Consider the following 22,896-nt stretch of genomic DNA (forward strand, 5'->3'; position numbering starts at 1 on the left):
ATAGCTTGAAATGTTTGAACACAGAGGCAAATAGGCTGCTGATAATTTAAATAAAAGCATTTGTAGAACAATATTTACCATGTAAGCCCACTTTTGAAAAATATGAATATGTACAATCATAAGAGAAATAGGCAAATACATCTATATAGATACATATGTAACAAAATATTAAAAAATGTTACTTTTGGAAAGTAGGATTGTAATAGGACTATTCTGTTTCTAATATATCCATTCCTGTATTGTTTAAATTTTTATAGCAAGCATGTGTTAGTTTCATAAGAAAATACTTACAAAGGAGAAAAATGGAAAAAAAAAAAGAAAGATTAATGGCTTGCTGCCATCTGGGAATGCCACAAGGCTCTGTCTTCTGCCTTCATACTGTTGAAAAATGTTATCAATTATTTGGGTGAAGTCATATATGACAAGCTTATCATACTTTCAGATGGAAAAAAAATTGGAAGGGATAGTTAATAGCATAGTTGATTGAGTCAAGTGTTATCATAACCAGAACTAGAATGTTGTGTTGAAACTAACAAAAAATTAACAGGGATAAATATAATTTACTCCATTTAGGCATAAATAATTGGTTGATTTAGTTTAAGATATAGAAATATCTGGCTTGTATTTCGTGTGGAAGGAGATTTAGTTTCCCTCAGCTCACTACAAACTGAAGATTGACACGCTTACAATTTTAGGCTATCCAGGTCTCAGGAGTGTTTGTGGTGCTTTGTGCTTGTCCACCAGGGTGATCTTGTTCTATTCAGAGTGTCATATCTTTAGAGAAACATTGCAAAATTAGAGCATATACAGAGAACAGGGATCAAAGTGGTGAAGGATCTATAAAACTGTGCCACAAATTTGAGTTCTTTAACTTAGAAAAGAAAGAATTAAGGTGACACAGGACAGTGGAATTCTAATATTTGGAGGTTGCCTTATGATAATATTTTTCTTTTTGAGGAAAGACCAGAAATTATACCAATTAGAGAAACAACAATGTGAGCTCACCTTATGAAAGAAGAAACTCATTAGCCAGGCATGGTGGCGGGTCCCTCTAATCCCTGCTACTAGGGAGGCTGAGGCAGGAGAATCACTTGAACCTGGGAGGCGGAGGTTGCAGTGAGCCAAGATTGCATCACTGCACTCCAGCCTGGGCGACAGAGCAAGACCCTGTCTCAGGAAAAAAAAAAAAAAAAAAGAAACTCCCAGTTCTTGGATATCTGAGCAGAAACTAGCAATGTACACAGACCCTGGAAAATGTATTCTGAATTTGGGTGTGTTGAATTAGGTATTTTCTAATTTTTTAAAAAATAACTGCAATCTAGAATTCTAAAAGAATGATTATGGAATATTTTATGTAAGTGAAATAGATGGTTAAACTTGTAACATTTTTAGAAACATGCATTTTGTAAAAACATAAAAATATATATCAGAAATAATGAATGAAATACAGTTGGAATACAGTTCACAGTTGTTTAAATTTATATAGATACATGTTAGAATCATAGCATTTGAAAAATAAGCTTTGTGCAGATGAGTAATATCTTGTGTATCTTACTGTATGTATATAGTTTATATACTTATATATGTATATAAGATATAGATATATCTTACTATATGTAAGATAGTTCCTAGAACACAGTAGGTACTCTACTTTTTTTTTTAAGGATAAAAAGAAATGGCCTTAGTATCAAAATCAGAACTGGAGTGACAGAGGGATAAGATAGATGTGGCAGCAAGGGGAAGGGAATATGTTGGAATGTCTAAGATTAGAAATCTAGGTATGTCTGCAGTATTAGATAAAGAATTTATACCAGGAATATGGGAAATTTGAACACAGGTATTAAAATTAAATCTAAATTGATAAATTTCGTTTACGGAGGAATATATAGGCAGATTTTGAGGATTAGCCAATACTCTGATTTAAGTTCAAATCAAGGGTGTCAGTGCAGTAGGAAAGAGAATAGATTATAACTTTGATGATCTAGCATCTGCTTTTTGATATTTATCTAGGAGAAGATATTGCATATTTTTCCAAGGGACAGTCAAGCTAAAGATTAGGAAATCCAGTTTCTTAGTATCTTGAAGTACCAAATACAGACTAAGTCACCTCACAATCAGTGATTCAGCTATTAAAATTAAGAGAGGCCAACACTCAGGAGGGTTTAATGATAAATAATGACCCAAAGCTTCTGACACTACATCTTGCGCTAATAAATGGGGGTGAGGCCACTAAATATTCATGGGAATGTTAGTAATTCTAGTTTAGACTTAGAGAGCTATAGGTTCAGGGAATTAAGCAGACTATTATACCCTCATTTTAACAATGAGGATTGTTATATTCAGACTATCAATGGTTGGTTGGGCAATAATAGTTCCTGAGTTTTTGCTTTGTTTTCAATATGCAAAATCTTAGGGTGACAATTGTATGTAGTCTTTTGGTAAATTTTAAAAATTAGGCCGGGCATGGTGGCTCACGCCTGTAGTCCTAGCACTTTGGGAGGCTGAAGCGGGTGGATCACCTGAGGTCAGGAGTTCGAGACCAGCCTGACCAACATGGTGAAACCCAGTCTCTACTAAAAAATACCAAAAATTAGCCGGGCACAGTCATGGGTGCCTGTAATCCCAGCTACTCAGGAGGCTGAGACAGGAGAATTGCTTAAACCTGGGAGGCGGAAGTTGCAGTGAGCCAAGATCGTGCCATTGCACTCCAGCCTGGGTGACAAGAGCAAAACTCCATCTCAAAAAAAAAAAAAAAAAAAAAAAAAAAAAAATATATATATATATATATATATATAACTCAAATAAGAAAAAGAGTTTTTCTCTAGCTTTCTGGTCAAGTTCACACACAATATTAGTGACAAATTTATTATTCCAGTGAAGATTGAGATTATTCTAATTAAGTACTGAAAAAAGTAGAACAATTTGGTTATCAAGAGAAAATAAGATAGCATTTATGTGCTCCCTCCAATGTTAAAAATATAATGCTTTAATAAAAAGAGAAAATACATCATTGAGCATTTTGTTTTCCTGAAGGAACTAAGCTATGCAGTGTTTAGAGCCCAACAATATTAAAACACACTTTAATATCCATAGTAACCAGTGACCTATGGCATATTTTTGTTTGAAGAATATATTCAAAGTATACTCTTTCCAATTGAGACAGCAATTATCCATTGCACTAGAAAACAAACAAAAACACTAAGAAAAGGTAGCAAAAAGACAAAATATTATGAAGAGAAAAACTATAGAAACAAAATTTCAAATGTGTTTTCGAATTAATACCACCTATATTAAATTACTATGAATTTTTGATACTCAAAGTATGGTCCATGAAACACCCTGGACCTATTGAATCAGAGTCCACATTTTAACATTATCCCCAAGTGCATGCACATTTAGATTTAAGAAATACTGCTGTAAACAATTTATATTATTGTAAAATCTCACTCAATTTCTGCCATCTTAGAGAAGCTGTTTCAGGCTTTCACTTCATAGCTAGAAATTGTGGTACAACTATATGATGGTATGATAGAAAACAAACAGTGCAACTTGATTGAGTTCTGAATTTCTAGTTCTAATACCATGTCTGATTTGTAGTAGAGCTTACTAAATAATTTTCAAATGAATAAATAAATAAATGAGCACTCCCTTGGAGAATCTAACCGTCCGTTGTATCTCCAGCACCTTCAGAAGCTGTAGACTCTAGAAAGTGTCACAATGCAGAAATATAAAGGATCATAAGCAAATACTAAAAGCAATTATATGCCAACAAACTGGATGACCTAGGAGAAATAGATAAATTCCTAGACACAGACAACCTACCAAGACTGAATTATAAAGAAATGGAAAATCTAAACATAAAAATAACGAGTAAGGAGATTGAATGAGTAATAGTCTCTCATTAAAGAAAAGTCCAGGATCTTATAGCTTCACAGCTGAATTCTATCACACATTTAAAGGAAAACTACTCCCAACCCTTTCAAACTCTTCAAAACAACTGAAGAAGAGGAAATAATGCCCAAACTCATCTTACAAAGCCAGTGTTATTTTGATACCAAAGCCAGGCAAGAGCACTTCAAGACAAGAATTTTGGGGGCCAATATTCTCAATGAACACAAATACAAAAATCCTCAACAAAATAGTAGCAAACCAAATCAAACAGCACATTAAAAGGACCATTCACCAAGATCAAATGGGATTTATTCCAGGAATGAAAGGATAGCTTAAAATACACAGATCTATAAACATAATATACCACATTTGAAAGACAAAAACTATATGACCATCACAATAGATGCAGAAAAAGCATTTGACAAAATTCAACATTCTTTCATAGTAATAACCCAATATATTTGATATAGAAGGATTGTACTGCAACACAATCAAAGTCACATATGACAAACCCACAGCTGACATTATACTCGAGGTGAAAAGTTGAAAGTTTTTCCTCTAAGATCAGGAACAAGACAAAGATGCCCACTGTCATCACTTCTATTCAACATACTAATTAATATTCTAGTACTGGAAGTCCTAGCCAGAGCAATTAGGCAAGAGAAAGAAATAAAAGACTTCCAAATTGGAAAGGATGAAGTTAAATGGTCACTGTTTGCAGATGACGTTATTTATGTATAGAAAATCCAAAAGACTCCAGTAAAAAACTGTTAGAACAAATAAAAGAATTCAGCAAAGTTGCAGGATACAAAAATCACTAATGTTTCTTCGCAACAACAAAGAACTATCCAAAAAGAAATCAAGAAAACAATCTTATTTACAATATCTACAAAAAAAAATTATAAGTAAGTTTAACCAAGGAGGTGAAAGACTTGTACACTGAAAGCAACAAAATATTGAGGAAAGAAATTGAAGACACAATAATTGAAAAGATATCCCATATTCACGGGTTGGAAGAATTAATACTGTTAAAGTAGTCCATACTACCCAAAGTGATCTACAGATTCGATGCAATCCCTATAAAAATTCCTATGACATTTTTCACAGAAGAGACAATCCTAAAACCCATACAAAACCATAAATGACATTGGCCTGGGCAAGAATTTTTTGAAATAACCCTAAAAGTACTGGCAACAAAGGCAAAAATAGACAAATAGGATTATTTCAAACTAAAAAGCTTCTGCACAGCAGACAATCAACAGAATGGAGAAACAACCTATGGAGTTGGAGGAAATATTTGCAAATGGTGCATATGATAGGAGGTTAATATCGAAAGTATATAAGGAACTGAAAGAACTTTACATTAGTCCGTTCTCACACTGCTATTATAAAGAAATACTCAGGACTGGGTAGTTTATAAAGGAAAGAGCTTTAATTGACTCACAGTTACACAAGGCTGGGGAGGCCTCAGGAAGTTTACAATCATGGTGGAAGGCGAAGAGGAAGCAAGCACCTTCTTCAAAAGGCAGAAGGAGAGAAATGAGCAAAGGAAGAGCTTCCAAACACCTATAAAACAATCAGATCTCGTGAGAACTCATTTACTTTCAGGAGTACAGCACAGGGGAACTGCCCCAATGATCCAATTACCTTTCTCCCTCAACACTTGGGGATTACAGGTTTCTCCCTAGACACGTGGGGATTACAATTCGAGATGAAACTTGGATGGGGACACAGAGCCAAACCATATCAAACTCAATAGCAAGAAAGCAAATAACCTGATTGAAAAATGGGCAAAGAAGCTGAAAAATCTCTCAAAAGAAGGCACTCAAATGGTCAATAGATGTATGAAAAATGCTCAACATCACCAATCATTAGAGAAATGCAAATTAAAACTGCAATGAGATATTACCTCAAACCTGTTAGGATGGCCATTATCAAAAATATGGGCGATAATAGGCATTGGTGAGGATGTGGAGGAAAGGGAACCCTGGCTCCCTGTTGGTGGGAATGTAAATTAGTACAGCCATTATGGAAAATAGTATGAGAGTTCCTCAAAAAAATTAAAAACGGAACTACTATATTATCCAGCAATCCCACTACTGGGAATCCAAAGGAATTAAAATCAGTATGTTGTAGAGATACCCGTACTCTCATATTCATTGTAGCATTATTCACAATAGCCAAGATATAGACTCAATCCTAGTGTACATCATTGGATGAATGAAGACAATCTGGGACTTATACATAATAAAATATGATTCAGCCTTTAAAAAGAAGGAAATCACATCATTTGTAACAACATGGACGAACGTGGAATACATTATATTGAGTGAAATAAGCCAGGCCAAGTAAGACCAATAACACAGAATATCACATATGTGGTATCTAAAAAATTGAATTCCTAGATGTAGAGAGTAGATTGGTGGTACCAGGAGCTGGGGTGACGGTGGGAGGTTGAGGAGATGTTGGTCAAAACATACAATAGTGCAGATAGGAAGAATAAACTCAAGAGATCTATTGTACAACCTGGTGACTATTGTTAGTAATGATATATTGTATTCTTGGAAATAGCTGAACATAGATTTTAAGTGTTCTTATCACCAAGAATATGTATAAGAGGTAATGCATATATTAATTAACTGGATTTAGCTATTCCCTAATGTACATATACTCTAAAACATCATGTTGTATACCATAAACATATATAATTTTAATTTGTCAATTACAAAATAAATTTTAAAAAAAAGCGTTACAGAACTGATAGCCCATACTTAGCCATACTAAGAATGTGGTTAAACATACTGAAGGTATGAGGCTTATGTTGTACGCTTCATAATAATATAAAAATAGTAGTCATTTGTGAGTGCTATGTGCTGTTACAGCATCACATATGGGGGATATAATGATGAAAACCACTCTAGTCTTCGCCATTGTCAAAACTGCATTTTGAGAATCCTGTTTCTAATCTCTGGGATTTAATCCTGAGACCTTTCCCCCCAGGTGTTAATCTCTCAAAATCATTTCTAATTTTCCTACTGTTGATCTGACAATATTGTCTTTGCATTTATGAATAATACTAACAGTTTCTTTCTGAATTTCCTCCCCCCTTCTTTCTCCTGTGTTGGATTTTAATGTTTAAAACACTGTCTATAATTCCATTCAGGAAGTTGTTTTGCCTAAGTCTACCTAACGATGAATAAAAATGTCTTTAAGTGTTTTTTATTTCTATCCCAACCTCTATTTGCATAGAAAAGGACAAATAAGATGATAAGAATAGGGAAGAAAAGAATACATTTCTTTGTTCTAGTTCTTGGATCAAATATAAAACATCTCACAGGTAATATGGCTGTTCAAACCTTCTGCTGACTGTGATTTTTTTTTCTTGTTGACTCTCCCAATTGGCTTACATCTGGGATAGGGAAGCAAATGATAAAGTTCTCAATTTCCTTAAACCTAAATACTCCACTCATGCCTGGGGTCCCTTTTCATGAACAATTCTATTGCCTGACTATATTATGTACTGCATATTTTGTGTAGGATCCGTTTCCCTTAAGTGCTCATGGTCTTGCCTTCAGTGATTATTCTCATCTTTCTACAGACTTTCCTGCCCCCACCACAATATAAACATTTTCAGTTCTCTCTAGTTTTGGAAAAAGACACACTCCTTTTACTTTTCTTCCTGAAACATATTTTTGAATATGGTCTCAATTCAAGCAGCTTTGCTTTGATGGAAAACTACAATCATGCGTTGCACTGGTAACTTTCTGAGAAATGCAACATTAGGCGATTTTGTCATTGTGTCAACATCACACAGTGTACTTACAAAAACCTAGACCAGCGGTCCCCAAGCCCTGGGCCACTTCCGTGGCCTGTTAGGAACCAGGCCGCAGAGCAGGAGGTGAGCAGTGGGCAGTGAGCCAAGCTTAGTCTGTATTTGCAGTCACTTCTCATTGCTCGCATTACTGCCTGTGCTCTGCCTCCTGTCAGATCAATGGTGGCATTAGATTCTCCTAGGAGCGCGAGCCCTATTGTGAACCGTGCATGTGAGAGATTAGGTTGTGTGCTCCTTATGAGAACCTAGTGCCTGATGATCTGTCACTGTCTCCCATCACTCCCAAATGGGACCATCTAATTGCAGGAAAACAAACTTTGGGCTCCCACTGATTCTACATTATAGTGAGTTGTATAATTATTTCATTGTATATTACAAAGTGATAAGAACAGAAAATAAAGTGCACGATAAATGTAATGTGCTTGAATCATCCCGACACCATCACTACCCTCCCCTCCGCCCCCACTGAGTCCGTGGAAAAACTGTCTTCCATGAAACCAGTCCCTAGTGCTGAAAAGGTTGGAAGCAGCTGACCTAGACAATATAGCCTACTGCACACCTAGACTATATGATATAGCCTATTGCTCCTAGACTACAAACCTATACAGGATGTTGCTGTACTGAATACTGTAGGCAACTGTGGCACAATGTACATATTTACGTATCTAAACATGTCTAAACATAGAAAATGTGTAGAAAAATGCAGTACAAAAGATTTATCCCAGGCATGGTGGCTCAAGCCTGTAATCCCAGCACTTTGGGAGGCCAAGGTGGGCATGTCGCTTGAGCCCAGGGAGTCAGAGACTGGCCTGGGCAACATACAAAACCCTGTCTCTACAAAAAAAAAATAAAATAAAATAAAAATAAATAAATAAATAAAAAACAAAGAAAGTAGCTGGGTGTGGTTGCATGCACCTGGAGTCCCAGCTACTCAGGAGGCTGATGAGGATCACCTGAGCCTGGGAGGCAGCAGCTGAAGTGAACTGTGATTGCACCGCTGCACTCCAGCCTGAGTGACACAGTGAGACCCTGTCTCAAAAAATACAAATTAAAAAAAAAAATTAAAATTAAAAAAAGATTTTAAAAATGGCACACTTACCATTTACCATTTTACCATTAAAAAATGTATATCACTTTACCATTAAAAAATGTATAAGACACTTACCATGAATGGAGCTTGCAGGAATGGAAGTTGCTCTGGGTGAATTAGAGAGTGCTGAGTGAATGTGGAGGCCTAGGACATTACTGTACACTACTGTAGGTTTTATAAACATGGTATACTTAGGCTATACTAAATTTATTAAAGCTATTTTTATTTTCTAATAATAAATTAACCTTAGCTGATGTAACTTTTTTACTTCAAAAACTTTTTAATTTTTTAAAACATTTGTAATAACAGCTTAAAACACAAACACATCGTACAGCTGTACAAAAATATTCTTTCTTTACATCCTTATTCTATAAGCTTTTTAATGTTTTTGTTAAACACACACACACATATTAGCCTAGGCTTACACGGTGTCTGGCTCATCGATATCACTGTCTTTCCCTCTACATTTTGTCCCACTGGAAGGTGTTCAGGGGCAATAACATCCATGGAGCTGTCATCTCCTATGATAACAATGCCTCCTTCTGGAATACCTCCTGAAGGATCTGCCTGAGGCTGTGTTACAGTTAACATTTTATATATATATATATATATATATATATATTATATAATATTAATATATATTATATATTTTATATATATACACATGTATATATGTGTGTATATATTGTATATATATGTATATGTATATATATGAAGTACACTGTAAAATAATGATAAAAATTATAGTACAGTAAATACTAGGTGATATAACTTTTTCAGCTCCGTTGAATCTTATGGAACCACCATCATATATGTAGTCCAGCATTGACCGAAACATCTTTATACAGCACATGATTGTAAAAGTTAGTCTCCACTCCTCTCCACTTCATTGCTCATTCAATCCTCTACTCTTGTCAGCCTTGGGTTGGCTTTCACACACCCCTGAAATTCTCTCACTTTTCAAACCAAATGGCCTTTAGACTGCTAAATTTGGTAGACTCTTCTTAGTTCTTTTAAATATCTCTAAAGTACCTTCAATTTACATCTACAATGCAATTTTGTCCTCCAAACTCTTCCCAGAGTAATCTTAGCAAACACGTTTGATCATTTAAGTGCTCATGAAATACCTTAAATGTTTCAAGGATAAAATTTAAGCTCCTCTGGCTAGTATAATGAGCCTTCGTTATCCAGCCCTTTCTTCATATCCTCTTTTCCTCTATTCCATATTAATGTGTGTACACCAGCCCAAATATGTCAAGCTGTCAGTTCTTTGCATTTGTACGGACTTTTTACTCTGTCTAGAGTACCCTTCTGCTGTTTATATGCCTGGTTAAATTCTATGTATTGCTGAGGACTCAGGTCAATTGTCACCTCTTTTGAGGAGTCTTTAATCCCCATCCCTCCCCATAATCTGGGAAGGGAATGTTTCTCCTCTGGGCTTCCAAGGCATCTTGTGCATATTTCTATCACATCACTCATTTCTGTGTATTTGTTTGTTTATTTGTTTAATTTTATGTCTCTTTCACTAGAGGACAGGAATTATGCTTTTCAATTTCTGTGTCTCTAAATCAGTCCTGAGGACTTGAGCACATATAGCAGGCATGGCGCGTTGGAGAATATGGCACAATTATCTAAGTAAATGAATCAAAGGATGAGATTACTGGCTTCTAGTATTAATTGGTGACTGGTTTTTATTATTACCAGATTCTAGAGGAATATCATAGGAAGAATTGATTAGCCAATGTTACAGCTTATTAAGACAAGCTTTTGTCCTCAACTCCAACTTATTTTGTATATATGCTGCTGCTTAGTTATATCTGCCCCAAAACTTACCACAGTTGGCTACTTAATAACTTACAGCAATTTTAGGCTGCTAGATAGCGTTTTGATTTCTGTAGTTTTTATCTGCATATTGTTTAATCAAACATCTCTCATATTATGCCCCAGCATGAGCCTCTGCTCCAGAAACATGATTTATTTGGATATGTGGTTTATCACTTAGGATAACTAAGGTCAGCATCCTTATACTAAAACTCATATGAATAATGTTTTACAATGCTTAAAATGAAAGAAGTGCATTTCCCTATCGTGTTGAACTTTATTATGAGCTGGTGTAGACACACATGGTGGTTGCTCAAAATCATAGGGACCCAGATTATTTTCGGTGTGCTTCTTCCTCATCCCTAGGTGTGTTACCAGAGCTAGCCAGTGACTTGAGCTCTAGCCAACACAGACAACTTCTGGACAGCAGGACAGAGGCAGGGCATAAGATGAACATGTCCCCTCTCTCAAATAAATCCTCCTGTAAGATTTACAGGACATTTTTACATTTCACTGGCTAAAATTGACAATGAAATGTTAAAAAGTGCTGTTCACCCTCATAAGATTCCTACTAAATGTATGGCTTGGGGAAGTGACTTTATCTCCTTGAAAGTCATTTTCTTCATTTCTAAAATGTAATTAACATGCTCATCTCATAGAAATACTGTAAAGATAATAAGTGTGTATTTGAAACTCTAGTCCAGTGACAGGCACATAGCAGGCTTCCAATAATGGTAGTTGCAGTTGTTAGTGTAGATGACATTACTGATTCAGAGATATCATAGCTCCTGCAAGGTCTCATAACTAATGATGGTTAAACCAGTATTCAAACTTAGATCAGCCTCACTCTGAAGCTTCCTCTCTTATAAATACAGTGAAATATGGCAGGAACTTGGCCTGAGAGCTTCTACTTTCCAATTCAATTCCTCTATATCATGAATCATGATATACTTCTGGTCTGAGTTTTCAGGACCATTGAAAATAGAGTTAAAAATAGAAAGATTTAGTTTATTTGGTTTAACTTATCCAAATAATTGCCTTGCTTTCACTTATTTTTGTGGAGACTTGGCTGAAATCAACAGCATTAATTGAGTGTGTAATTCTGGAACCATCTAAGAAAGCTAAAATCATTTAAAATTAGTTGGGGTTTAGTAACTAGGTTGAACTTTGCCTTTGTCAGGCAGTTTCCAGCTGACTCACTGCAGCTGCAACAATTGACATCATTTTGTGCCTTTCATGCAAAGACTAATTTGGCAGGCAGCACTCCCAGTGGAGTGGGTTTCTGAGGCTTGGTGAATCTCAGGGTTGGAATGGACTTTAAAGGTCATGAAAGCTAAACCTTAATGTAATGATTGAATTGGCTTACATCAACCCCATCAAGAGGTTTTCTAACCTACATTTGGATAAGTCCAGTGACAAATAAATAGTGAAGATTTCCACATGGCCTGAATTGCATAACCCGTTCTGTATTTGAATAGCTCTTACTTCCTTATATTGAACTGCAATCTGTATTCTTAACCTTCCTGCCACCAGTACTACTTCTATCCCCAGTACAAATATTCCTTTTTGGAACCTTACAACCTTTCAAATATTTGAAGACCATGACGTTGCCTGGTCTTAGAGTTTTCTCACTGCTAAATACCTCCAGTTTTCTTCAACTTTTTCTCATTCAATATGCCTTTAATTTCCTTCACAATCCTGAGCTCATAGAGAAACCCATATGGCTTGGCTTGATTCTTCTTAAAGTGTTCATTCTCCTCTTATCCCAGGAATGAATGAAATCCTGCAGTGTAAATGGAGGGAATGACCTAATCAAACTGTCCTGGTAAAGTAAAAGGGAGTTGCTTGAAACATGATAGAGAATGGTGAAAATTTAGGGAATCATCAAATTGTTGAGATTTTATTGGCCCTCCTTACAACTAAGCAAATGTGACAAAATAATTTCTTGCTGTAAAAAGCTCAAAGGCATAACAAAGTCATAGTACTCTTAAGCACAAAGCAAGTTAGGTTATTTATTGTGATAGTTCAGACTCCATCAACTTTATTTTATTTGTATGGTTCCTTTATTTTAGTGCTGAGTGATATCATTAAGATAAAAAGGATGAACGAATGGATGGATGAGTGAATTGATGGACAAACTGCTCAGGAACAAATGTTAGTTATATTTCAATAGATACAGATTTAAAGGAAAACAAACCAAAACTTTTTCTCTGAATCTGACAAAATTTCAGGTTCTGTATGGAATTAAAATAGCAGTTTTGACTCATTCAATGTTGTACATATGTAACCCTTTAGTAGCCTCATAAATCTTGTTCTGCTCTTGAGAAAGAATGTTGCATTGATGTAAAACTTAATAACATTTTTGTCTGATGCTAAATAACTGTGTGCTATTTGAAAAATATCACTTAGCATCTCTGCTTATGAAATAGTAAGAACAAAATACCTTCATTGTGTCACAAACATGTAGTCAGGGTAAAATCGTATATTTTAATTCATTCTATGGGGATTTATGCAGTGATTTTCATATTTTATTTAATGTTCTGAGCAGTGAAAATTCAGTGAGGAAAAGCCTAGAAAAGGCCCATGTCCTCATAGAGCTTATATTTTATAACAAAATTTAAAATCAAACAGTTTTAAGAGCCTCGAAATACAAGGTACTTTTAAATGGTTCTGAATCTTTGATTTTTAAATTGATGTTGTTTCTTTGTGGTACATATTTTTAAACAGTCCCAGTTTTAAAACTAGGTTCTAATACATTTAATGCAAATTTTAAAAATTACTTATAGTTTTTTTTTCCTACACAGAAGGAAAAAACAACTTATGTTCAAGTTTTCATTTCACCCTAGAGGTAGATATTCTTTCGCTTTGTTTTGCAATTATTCTTAATGTTTGATTGCCACTATTTACTAAAAATATTGTCTCTTTCTCAGTCTCATATCCCTTCCAGAAGATATGCTAATATGCTTAAAATGGATTGTATTTTACAGAGTTTTAGGGTAACATTGATTATGTCAGTCTTGTGGATGTGGAGGCCTAATATTGCCAAACTTGATTGATTTCTACTTAAAATCCTGGAAAAATTCTTATCAAAGAAGAGCCACAAATAAATGATTGTTTTTATTTTCTACTTGGTTGTCTGGAAAGTATAACATACAATCTCTAACATATGGATCTTGTATGTTTCCCTTGTAAAAGCAAAATTTTGTGTTTGGGAATGAAAATTTATTTTTATTCTTATTGAATTAAAAAAAAAATATTTACAACCTTCAGAGCTTTGAAGGCCCTTTACATAACAGTATATAACCTCCTTAAAGCTTACCTAGTTCTGAAAATCATTCACTCATCAGAGATATCCTGAAATGGAGATTAGAATTGGGATAAAGTATGTCTTAATTCTTACAAATTTTCTTTAACACAAATAAAAAGCATTAGTGCTGCTCTCTTACTGTATGCTGTCAGAACCATATTTTTAATATATTAGCTTCTACATTACTTCTAGGATTTTCTATTACTCAGAACTACTCTCCCTCTCATACCTTGAGGTTGATGAGACAATTACTTCCTCAAGGAGAGTCTACAGATTTTGGACACCTGAAGCCTCTTTTAAGAAAAAAGAAAATGGCCGGGCACGATGGCTCACGCCTGTAATCCCAGCACTTTGGGAGGCCAAGGCAGGCGGATCAGCTGAGGTTGGGAGTTTGAGACCAGCCTGGCCAACATAGAGAAACCCTGTCTCTAGTAAAAATACAAAATTAGCTGGGTGTCCTGGCACATGGCTGTAATCCCAGCTACTCGGGAGGCTTAGGCAGGAGAATCACTTGAACCTGTGAGGCGGAGGTTGCGGTGAGCCGAGATTGCACCATTGCACTCCAGTCTGGGCAACAAGGGTGAAACTCCGTCTCAAAAAAAAAAAAAAGAAAATGATACTTACTTTCAAAAGCTTAAGCCCTGAAGAACGCTGGGCATAAAGTTCATCCCATGAAATATATATATTTGGAGAAGACAGGGTCTCACTGTTGCCCAAGCAGGAGTGCTGTGGTGCAGTCACCGCTCACTGCAACCTCCGCCTCCACCTCCTGGGCTCAGGTGATCCTCCCACTTCAGCCTCCTGAGTAGCTGGGACTATAGTTACACACCAGCACACCCAGCTAGTTTTTTGTATTTTTAGTAGAGATGGGGTTTCACCATTTTGCCCAGGCTGGTCTCGAACTTCTGGGCTCAAGGGATCCACCCGCCTCGCCCTGCCAAAGTGTTGGGATTATGGGTTTGAGCCACCACACCCACCCTCATAAACAATACATTTTTTTAAGAAATACAAAATAAGGCAGAAAAAGTTTCCTTCCTGCCTCCTTTCTTTCCAGATTAAATAAGACTTCCGTTGCTCTGAGAAAAAACAGAGTGGGAGTAGATATGGTAAGAAGACTTAATGAGGAGGGACTTACTTATATATTGAGGTGTGTGTGTGTGTGTGTATGTGCGTGCATGTGTGCACCAACACAGTTTTGCCTTGATCCTCTCCTATACACCAGCAAATTGCCACAATAGATGTGGTCTTCTCATTTTTCCTTTGATGAGGAGATAATACAGATGGACACTTGGTATAACTAGAGGGGCGTGTCTGAGGAAGCCAGAATTTCAAATGTTTTCTGTGTCCAAGAAAGATGTAGACATAGCTAAGACAAAGCACAACTCAAGAGGCCTGTGCTCAGAAATGTGGAAAATACATAACTGGCTTGGACAAGAAAATGAGTAAGTAACTGTGGGACCAGAAACATATATCTGTCAGCAACTTATGTGGGTTGAAGGGTGAGTACAGGACGGGATAATTGCTAGATTATCATCTACCTGACTTCAAACTGTATTAAAAGGCTACCACAACCAAAACAGCATGATACTGGTACAAAAACAGACACATAGACAATGGAAAACAATAGAGAACCCCCAATATAAAGCTGCATACCTACAGACATCTGATCTTTGACAAAGTCAAATGGGGAAAGGACTCCCTATTCAATAAAAGGTACTGGGATAACTGGCTGGCCATATGGAGAAAAATAAAACTGGACACCTATTTTTCACTACATACAAAAACTAACTCAAGATGAATTAAAGATTTAAATATAAGACCTCAAACTATAAGAATCCTAGAGGAAAACCTAGGAAACACCTCTGGATGTGGGCCTTAGGAAAAAAATTCATGACAAAGTCCTCAAAAGCAATTGCAACAAAAACAAAAATTGACAAATGGAAATCTAATTAAACTAAAGAGCTACTGCACAACAAATGAAACTATCAACAGAGTAAATGAACAACATACAGAATGCGAGAAAATATTCACAAACTATACATCTGAACAACTATGGATACAGCTGGAGGCCATTATCCTAAACAAATTAATGTAGGAGCAGAAAACCAAATACCGCGTGTTTTCACTTATAAGTAGGAGCTAAAAATTGAGTAATCATGAACATACAGAAGGCAACAATAGACACTGGAGACTACCAGAGTGGGAAGGGAAGGAGGAGGGCATGGTTGAAAAAGTAACTATTGGGTGCTATGCTCACTACCTGGGCGACAGGATCGATCACATCCCAACCCTCAGCATCATGCAAATACTGAGGTAACAAACCTGCATACATAACCTTTGAATCTACAATAAATATTAAAATTATTTTTAAAAAGAAAAGATGAATTAAAAAGATAATAATAAAAATTGCTGAATATTTGGAATTGAATTTACCACACCTCAATATTTACAACATATAACCAAGTGTTACATAGAGAGAAAGATATTGGCCTAAAAATTACCTGATGTGATGTCATTACACCAGAGGGACTGAGATAAATGAGCTGGGCCTTCAACTCCAAAATTAAGGGAAAGAAACACAGAATAAATCCAAATAATATAAAAGAAATGAAGAGCAAATATAATGTTAGACATTGAGGAAATAAAAATATACAAAGAAGCAAGCAAACAAAGAAAATTGTTAGTACAATTAAAATACATCTGCTAAAAATACTAATAAAATAGGTAAACATTTGAAAAACTGATCAAAGGGGAAAAAAGAGATATTATAAATAAAAATATTAGGAATGTGAAGAAGGACATGACCCCACAAACACTACAGATTAAAATAAATGACTGCATTATTTTGGCTAGATGAGTCTGAAGTCCATTAGTTTCAGGCATGTCCTGTAGTGTGCTAGGAATGAAAAGTCAAGCTCCATTTTTAAAATGTAAAAAAAAATACAGCAAGTAATACAGTTGAAGTATTTTCTAACTTTCACATCAAGGAATATGTGTCTCCCCAGGGGTACATATCTGATGGATCACTAGTGACCCAGCAAAAGATCACAGACTCCAGAATCTCTTTCATGATGCTCCCCAGAATATAGTGAAAATTCTACAGCAGTTTGCTATAATGAACAGTAGAAAGGCATTCACAGCAGTATCTTGGTAATTGTTATTTACAGTGCCTTCTTCCACCCAGAACAATCTCTTCCACCATACCTTCATATATTCTTGAATCTTGAATACTACTTGTTATGTAAACTAAAGATTAAATGTTATCGAAATTAAAAATTCAATTTCATATCAAATTATCATTTGGTTACAGTTATCAATCCAATTTTTCTAGGTTTGATAAGGGCTTTCTCTGTTTATAAACCTTAGCTATTTCATTGTTTTAGATTAAACAAACAAACATTACTGTTGAAAAAGTTGAGGGGTATATAGGCCTGGCCATTGAAAGTATAATAATCAGATTTTCTTTTTTTATATATATTAGAATGCACGTATTAATATAATTTAGAGGGAAACATAAGATTACATAATAATTTGCCTGAATGATGAATCAGATTTTAAAAAACAAGTAATATACCTATTGCAAGAGCAAATACACTACTTCAATATATACATGTTTCCTCATTTTTTTCTTTTTTTTTTTGAGATGGAGTCTCACTGTGTTGCCCAGACTGGAGTGCAGTGGCGTGATCTCGACTCACTTGCAACCTCCACCTCCCTGGTTCAAACAATTCTCCTGCCTCAGCCTCCTGAGTAGCTTGGATTACAGGTGTGAACCACCATGCCTGGCTAATTTTTTTTTTTTTTTTTTTTTTTTTAGTAGAGATGGGATTTCACCATGTTAGCTAGGCTGGTCTCGAATTCTTGACTTCAGGTGATCCGCCTGCCTCAGCCTCCCAAAGTGCTGAGATTACAGTTGTGAACCACCGTTCCCATCCCTTTTCCTATTTTTTAATTAACAAGGGCAAAAAAAAAAAAGAACCAAAAATATGCCCCCATAAATCAACAATATATTCCTGTTAAAAACAAATAAAGCCTCATTTCCACAGCATTAATGAAACAAAGACTTTGAGAATATAATTGCTATTTCTTCAAAGTTAAGAGAATATTTGTTAAAAGAACAATTTTGATGCATTAAAATGTTATAATTCAGACTTTCTTATTAGTTAATTTCAGGGTAAGTGAAAATACAGCATCAGTTCCAGAATGTTCAGACCAATGGAAGAAAAACAGACTAAATCAATAATTAAATTGTTCAATCAATACAAAATTAAGAGTCTGTTGTATGGTAAAGTAGGCAAGGACACAAACTGGAATGGTAATTAATGGCCAGAAATTTATCAGAAAAGGAAAATTTTGAAAAATTATTATTATTATCAATAATTAGTTATGTATAGAGCTGGTATTTGTTTCTGAACATAAATTAATGATTGCATTGTCTCTTTCATGCTTCTCAATAATATTCATAATTTCTCTTTTAATTTACTAAGTTACCTGTGGTTTGTAAGGTTTATTGTTTTGTTTTTCCCAAAAGCTAGGTAACTTGCTCTTCTGGAGTGGCTTGGGTACTAGAAGATTCCACTTCATTATATAAGAAAAACCACAGGGCAAATTTATTATTACAAGACCCAAATTGCAGTTCTACTTTATCAATTTTTGCCTAATTTTGTTACAGCATAAATATCATTCTGGAAATAATTTTAGAGGACTACTAGAAAAGAGAAGCATTTGTTTTTTATTTTTTATAATTTTTATAATTTTTTTTTATGAGTACATAGTAGGGGTATATATTTGTGGGGCACATTTTTTTTTTTTTTTTTGAGACAGAGTCTTACTCTGTTGCCCAGGCTGGAGTGCAGTGGTGTGATTTCTGCTCATTGCAACCTCTGCCTCCCGGGTTCAAGCAATTCTCTGCCTCATCAGCCTCCTGAGTAGCTGGGATTACATGCATCTACCACCGTGCCAGGCTAATTTTTGTATTTTTAGTAGAGACAGGGTTTCACCTGTTGGCCAGGCTGGTCTCAAACTCCTGACCTCGTGATCCACCCACCTTGGCCTCCCAAAGTGCTGGGATTACAGGTGTGAGCCACTGCACCCGGCCACATGAGATATTTTGATACAAGCATACGATGCGCAATAATCACATCAGAATAAATGGTGTATCCATCACCTCAAGCGCTTATCCTTTCTTTGTGTTACAATCTAATTATAGTCACATTTATTTAAAAATGTACAATAAATTATTGCTGGCCGTAGTCACCCTGATGTGCTATCAAATACTAGGTTTTTTCATTCTATCTAACTATATTTTTGTACCCAATGACCATCCCTGCTTCTACTCCTCCGTTACCCTTCCCAGATTCTGGTAACCATCATTCTAACACAAACATTAATTACAATGTTCTAATGTAACTTTAGAAATGCTTTACTTCTCAGTAATTTTGTGATGAGAATAAACATTATTTAAAAAACTATTTTTTTCTAATAAAATATCCTATGGTAGAATTTCAAATATTATGTTGGATCCTTTCACTTTTATTTGGATAAAAATAAGGCATGTTAAGTAGGTTTAACCATCTCATTTTTAGATTGATATACATTGTATACATTCTTTTTTTTTTTTTTTTTTTTTAATGAGATGGAGTCTCCCTCTGTCTCTGTGCAGTGGTGCGATCTCAGCTCATCGCAACCTCTGCCTTCTGGGTTCAAGCTACTCTCCTGCCTCAGCCTCCCGAGTAGCTGGGACCACAGGCACACGCCACCACACCTGGCTAATTTTTTGTATTTTTAGTAGAGACGGCGTTTCACCGTGTTGGCCAGGCTGGTCTTGAACTCTGACCTCGTGATCCACCTGCCTCGGTCTCCCAAAGTGCCGGGATTACAGGCGTGAGCCACCGTGCCCAGCGATTGTATACATTCTTGAGAAGGTCAGAACTATTTCTGCTCTGATAAAGACAATGACATTATATATACCTTCACAGATAACAAACACCCTCGTGGCAACTTATTTCAATGAATGTTTTTTTCCTCTCTTATTAGAGCACGTTGCCAAAATGAACAAGAATTTAGAAAACAGCAGCATTTTGCTGGTAGGATCATTTCTAGTGAAAAACAAACAAACAAGTAACAACTGGATATACCCAGACTGCTGGGATTGGATATCTTATTAGTAATTTGCAACATCTGTGGACTCTGAGATTTCCCTGATGTGGCACAATTTACACTGTAAAATACTTGCTTTTGTTTATTAGGAAATTTACACTGGGTTTTGCCAGCTCACTTTACCAAAACCATCTGCATTTTTCTGCCCAGGTCCACCCATATGATAAAAATAAATAGATAAGAGTAGTTTTTGTTTCCTATAAAAAAAATTGTGTAAGGAAATACTTTGGCAGACAGTATGGTGTAGTACAGGTAACATGGCTGAATCTCACCACAGTAACTGAAAGCTATGATATTGCAGGTGAAACGTCAGCGAGAGACAACACAGGAATTCCTGTGATTCACTTCCTCTCCTCCCTAACCCACGTATGATTCTGAAAGGAGGTGGATTCTGTCATTTCCATAAAATCATTTTTCCATTTCTATGTTTATCAGTCCTAGTCTAGGTCAACAGAAAATACCATTTTTGGTGAGTTCTTCTATTTTGCTGCAAAACAAAGGAAGAAATGTTATTTATCTCATAATACAAACACACTCATAAATTCCTGTGCAATTTCTTTGTTAACAATAAATAGGCGGAAAATAGACATAATGAAATATTTGCATAGGACATATTAAGGTAAAATATACATTCCTGTGATATATGTGAAATAAAAATTCACCAGCAAGGTTGTCTGTAGATGGATTTTACTTTTTATTGTAATTCCCATTGAAAGCAAAGAAATATACAATCCTATTGATAAAGTCCACTTTTATTCATTTATTCAACAAACATTCTGTAGTACTTGCTATGTCCTAGAAAATACATTAACTCCTGTGACAGATACAGGACAAATAATATTCTATAGGGCACTTCTTGTAGTGAAGGAAATGGACATACAAATTAATTGTATGTGATACTGCTATGTTGGAGGTGTGTGCTATGGAAATACAAAGGCAGAATATTTATTTCTCTCTGACATGTGATTTCCGGTCACTAAAGTGACGTTGGAGTTAAGAATTAGAGAATGAGTTATATACACTAGGTGAATAGTCTTGGAAAAGCCATTTTTATGTAGACGAACAGCTTCATTTTTTAAAAAGGCACTGAGTGTGAATATGCACAGTATATTTAGAGGATAACAAACAGGTAAGAGATGTGTGCTCCAGTGGAAAAATCTCCGCTGGGGCTATATTATTTTCCGGGGCCCTCTATCTTACCTGTAGATAGAACTCTTTTTGTCAAAAAAAAAAAAAAAAAAAAAAAAACATCTTAAAGATTGCTGAATGTTTCTGTTTCTGGCTCCTACCTTTAAATGAACTATACTATTATTTAGGGGAAAGCACATCAATTAATTAACAGCCTTAAGGAATTAGGATATTTTATCAGGAAAAATACTAAAGAGAAAGCAACTTAAAAGATCAGTTAAAAATAGAACATTTTGATAACCACCATTTATTTGGACTCAATAGGCAGAAACCTATTACGGGATTCGATACAAGTAGTGTAAATGGGGCATGAAGGCTTCAGTGTATATATAGAATTGGAGATGCTTTCACTTTCCATTTGATGAAATTGAATTTCTCAGAATGGACTCTATATCTTTTTAATTCCATGATTTTCAGCAGGCAGAAGGACGATATCCTGTAATTTATGAAGATAGTTTATTATTATTTTTTATTAGCTCTCAGCTTTAGCAACCACTTTCTTCCCCCTCCCTCCCCAGCCATGTTGCTGCTGGTGATCCTTATAAGTGAAGCTGCTTTTCATTTTCATCTTCCTCAGAACAGCTGGTGCTTACACTACCCTAAACATTCATTGAGTCATTTCCTGCTGATAAATGTCTATATGTAGTCACGATTATCACCTATGCGTGTGATACTAAACTGTCCTCTCTCTTTTTAAACCAAGATAGCATTTGTACCAGCCTCTAATCTTATGTACCACTTTCTCCCCTTTCAGAACCAAGCTGGCAATTCTCATCTTGAATAGCTTTAAAATTGCTCATAGCAATCAATGACAACTGAGGCATCACTAAAGAATTTCTTTTATCTCCAAGCTCCAATTTAGATCTGTCATTAAGCTTGAGTAAGCTTGAACTGTCAGAACATTTTCCCTCATCACATGCTCTAAGCACAAAAAGTCAACTTCAAAATCAAATTTGTTCTGTCTCTTACTATACTTTGTAATGGTTTCATGTGAACAATAAACTTCACCGAAATAGTAGTGTCAATCTTTAGTAACTCAGATCACTATGGTTTCAAAAAGTAGTGAAATGCTGCCAAAACTCAAGTATGACGTATGGTAGATCATTCACTCACATTCAATTGCTCTTTGTTGTGCTTTAATATTAGGGGAAGGGGGACTTGGCAGGGGGTATGGAGATGAGGAGTCTCTTTCCTCCTTTTAGAGGAAAGGTTGTGTCATCTTTTTGGCAAGTCACTTTCCCTCCCTACGCCTTCCTTTCCATGCCTGTAACATGAGATAGTTTTATTACATGAATTCTAAGTCTCTGCCCATTCCTAATGTTGGCCTCTTAATAAATTCAACTTTTCATTGTGTGGTGTTATTCTTCTTCAAGAAATGGATTAGAAATGTTACCATACAGAGCTAGAAGTCATGAATTAATTAGGAAGCCCATCGTCCAAATCTAACTGTAAAATGCCTTGGTTTCATCTTCTGGAACAAAACGATTTTTTTTGGGGTTCTGCTGATGAACAGAAACTGTCTTTTAAAGATCACAGTTTCTATCTTGGAGATCTTTTCCACTGACAGATACTTCAGCCTCATCCACATATTTAAATGTACTTTGATCT

General features: G+C 35.6%; 2 long non-coding RNA genes across 2 annotated transcripts in view; one reads left to right on the forward strand and one right to left on the reverse strand.

Moving 5' to 3' along the window:
• NOVA1-DT (NOVA1 divergent transcript) overlaps positions 1-22,896 on the forward strand; it is a 207,821-nt gene that overhangs the window by 155,329 nt on the left and 29,596 nt on the right. The window lies entirely within an intron of this gene.
• LINC02294 (long intergenic non-protein coding RNA 2294) overlaps positions 21,520-22,896 on the reverse strand; it is a 46,626-nt gene continuing 45,249 nt past the window's right edge. Inside the window, exon 4 of the long non-coding RNA NR_110033.1 lies at positions 21,520-21,724. This is a non-coding gene — a long non-coding RNA (long intergenic non-protein coding RNA 2294). The remainder of the gene's footprint in view (positions 21,725-22,896) is intronic.

This window comes from Homo sapiens, chromosome 14, assembly GCF_000001405.40.
Source record: "Homo sapiens chromosome 14, GRCh38.p14 Primary Assembly".
In the NCBI taxonomy this organism is placed as follows: Eukaryota; Metazoa; Chordata; class Mammalia; order Primates; family Hominidae; genus Homo; species Homo sapiens.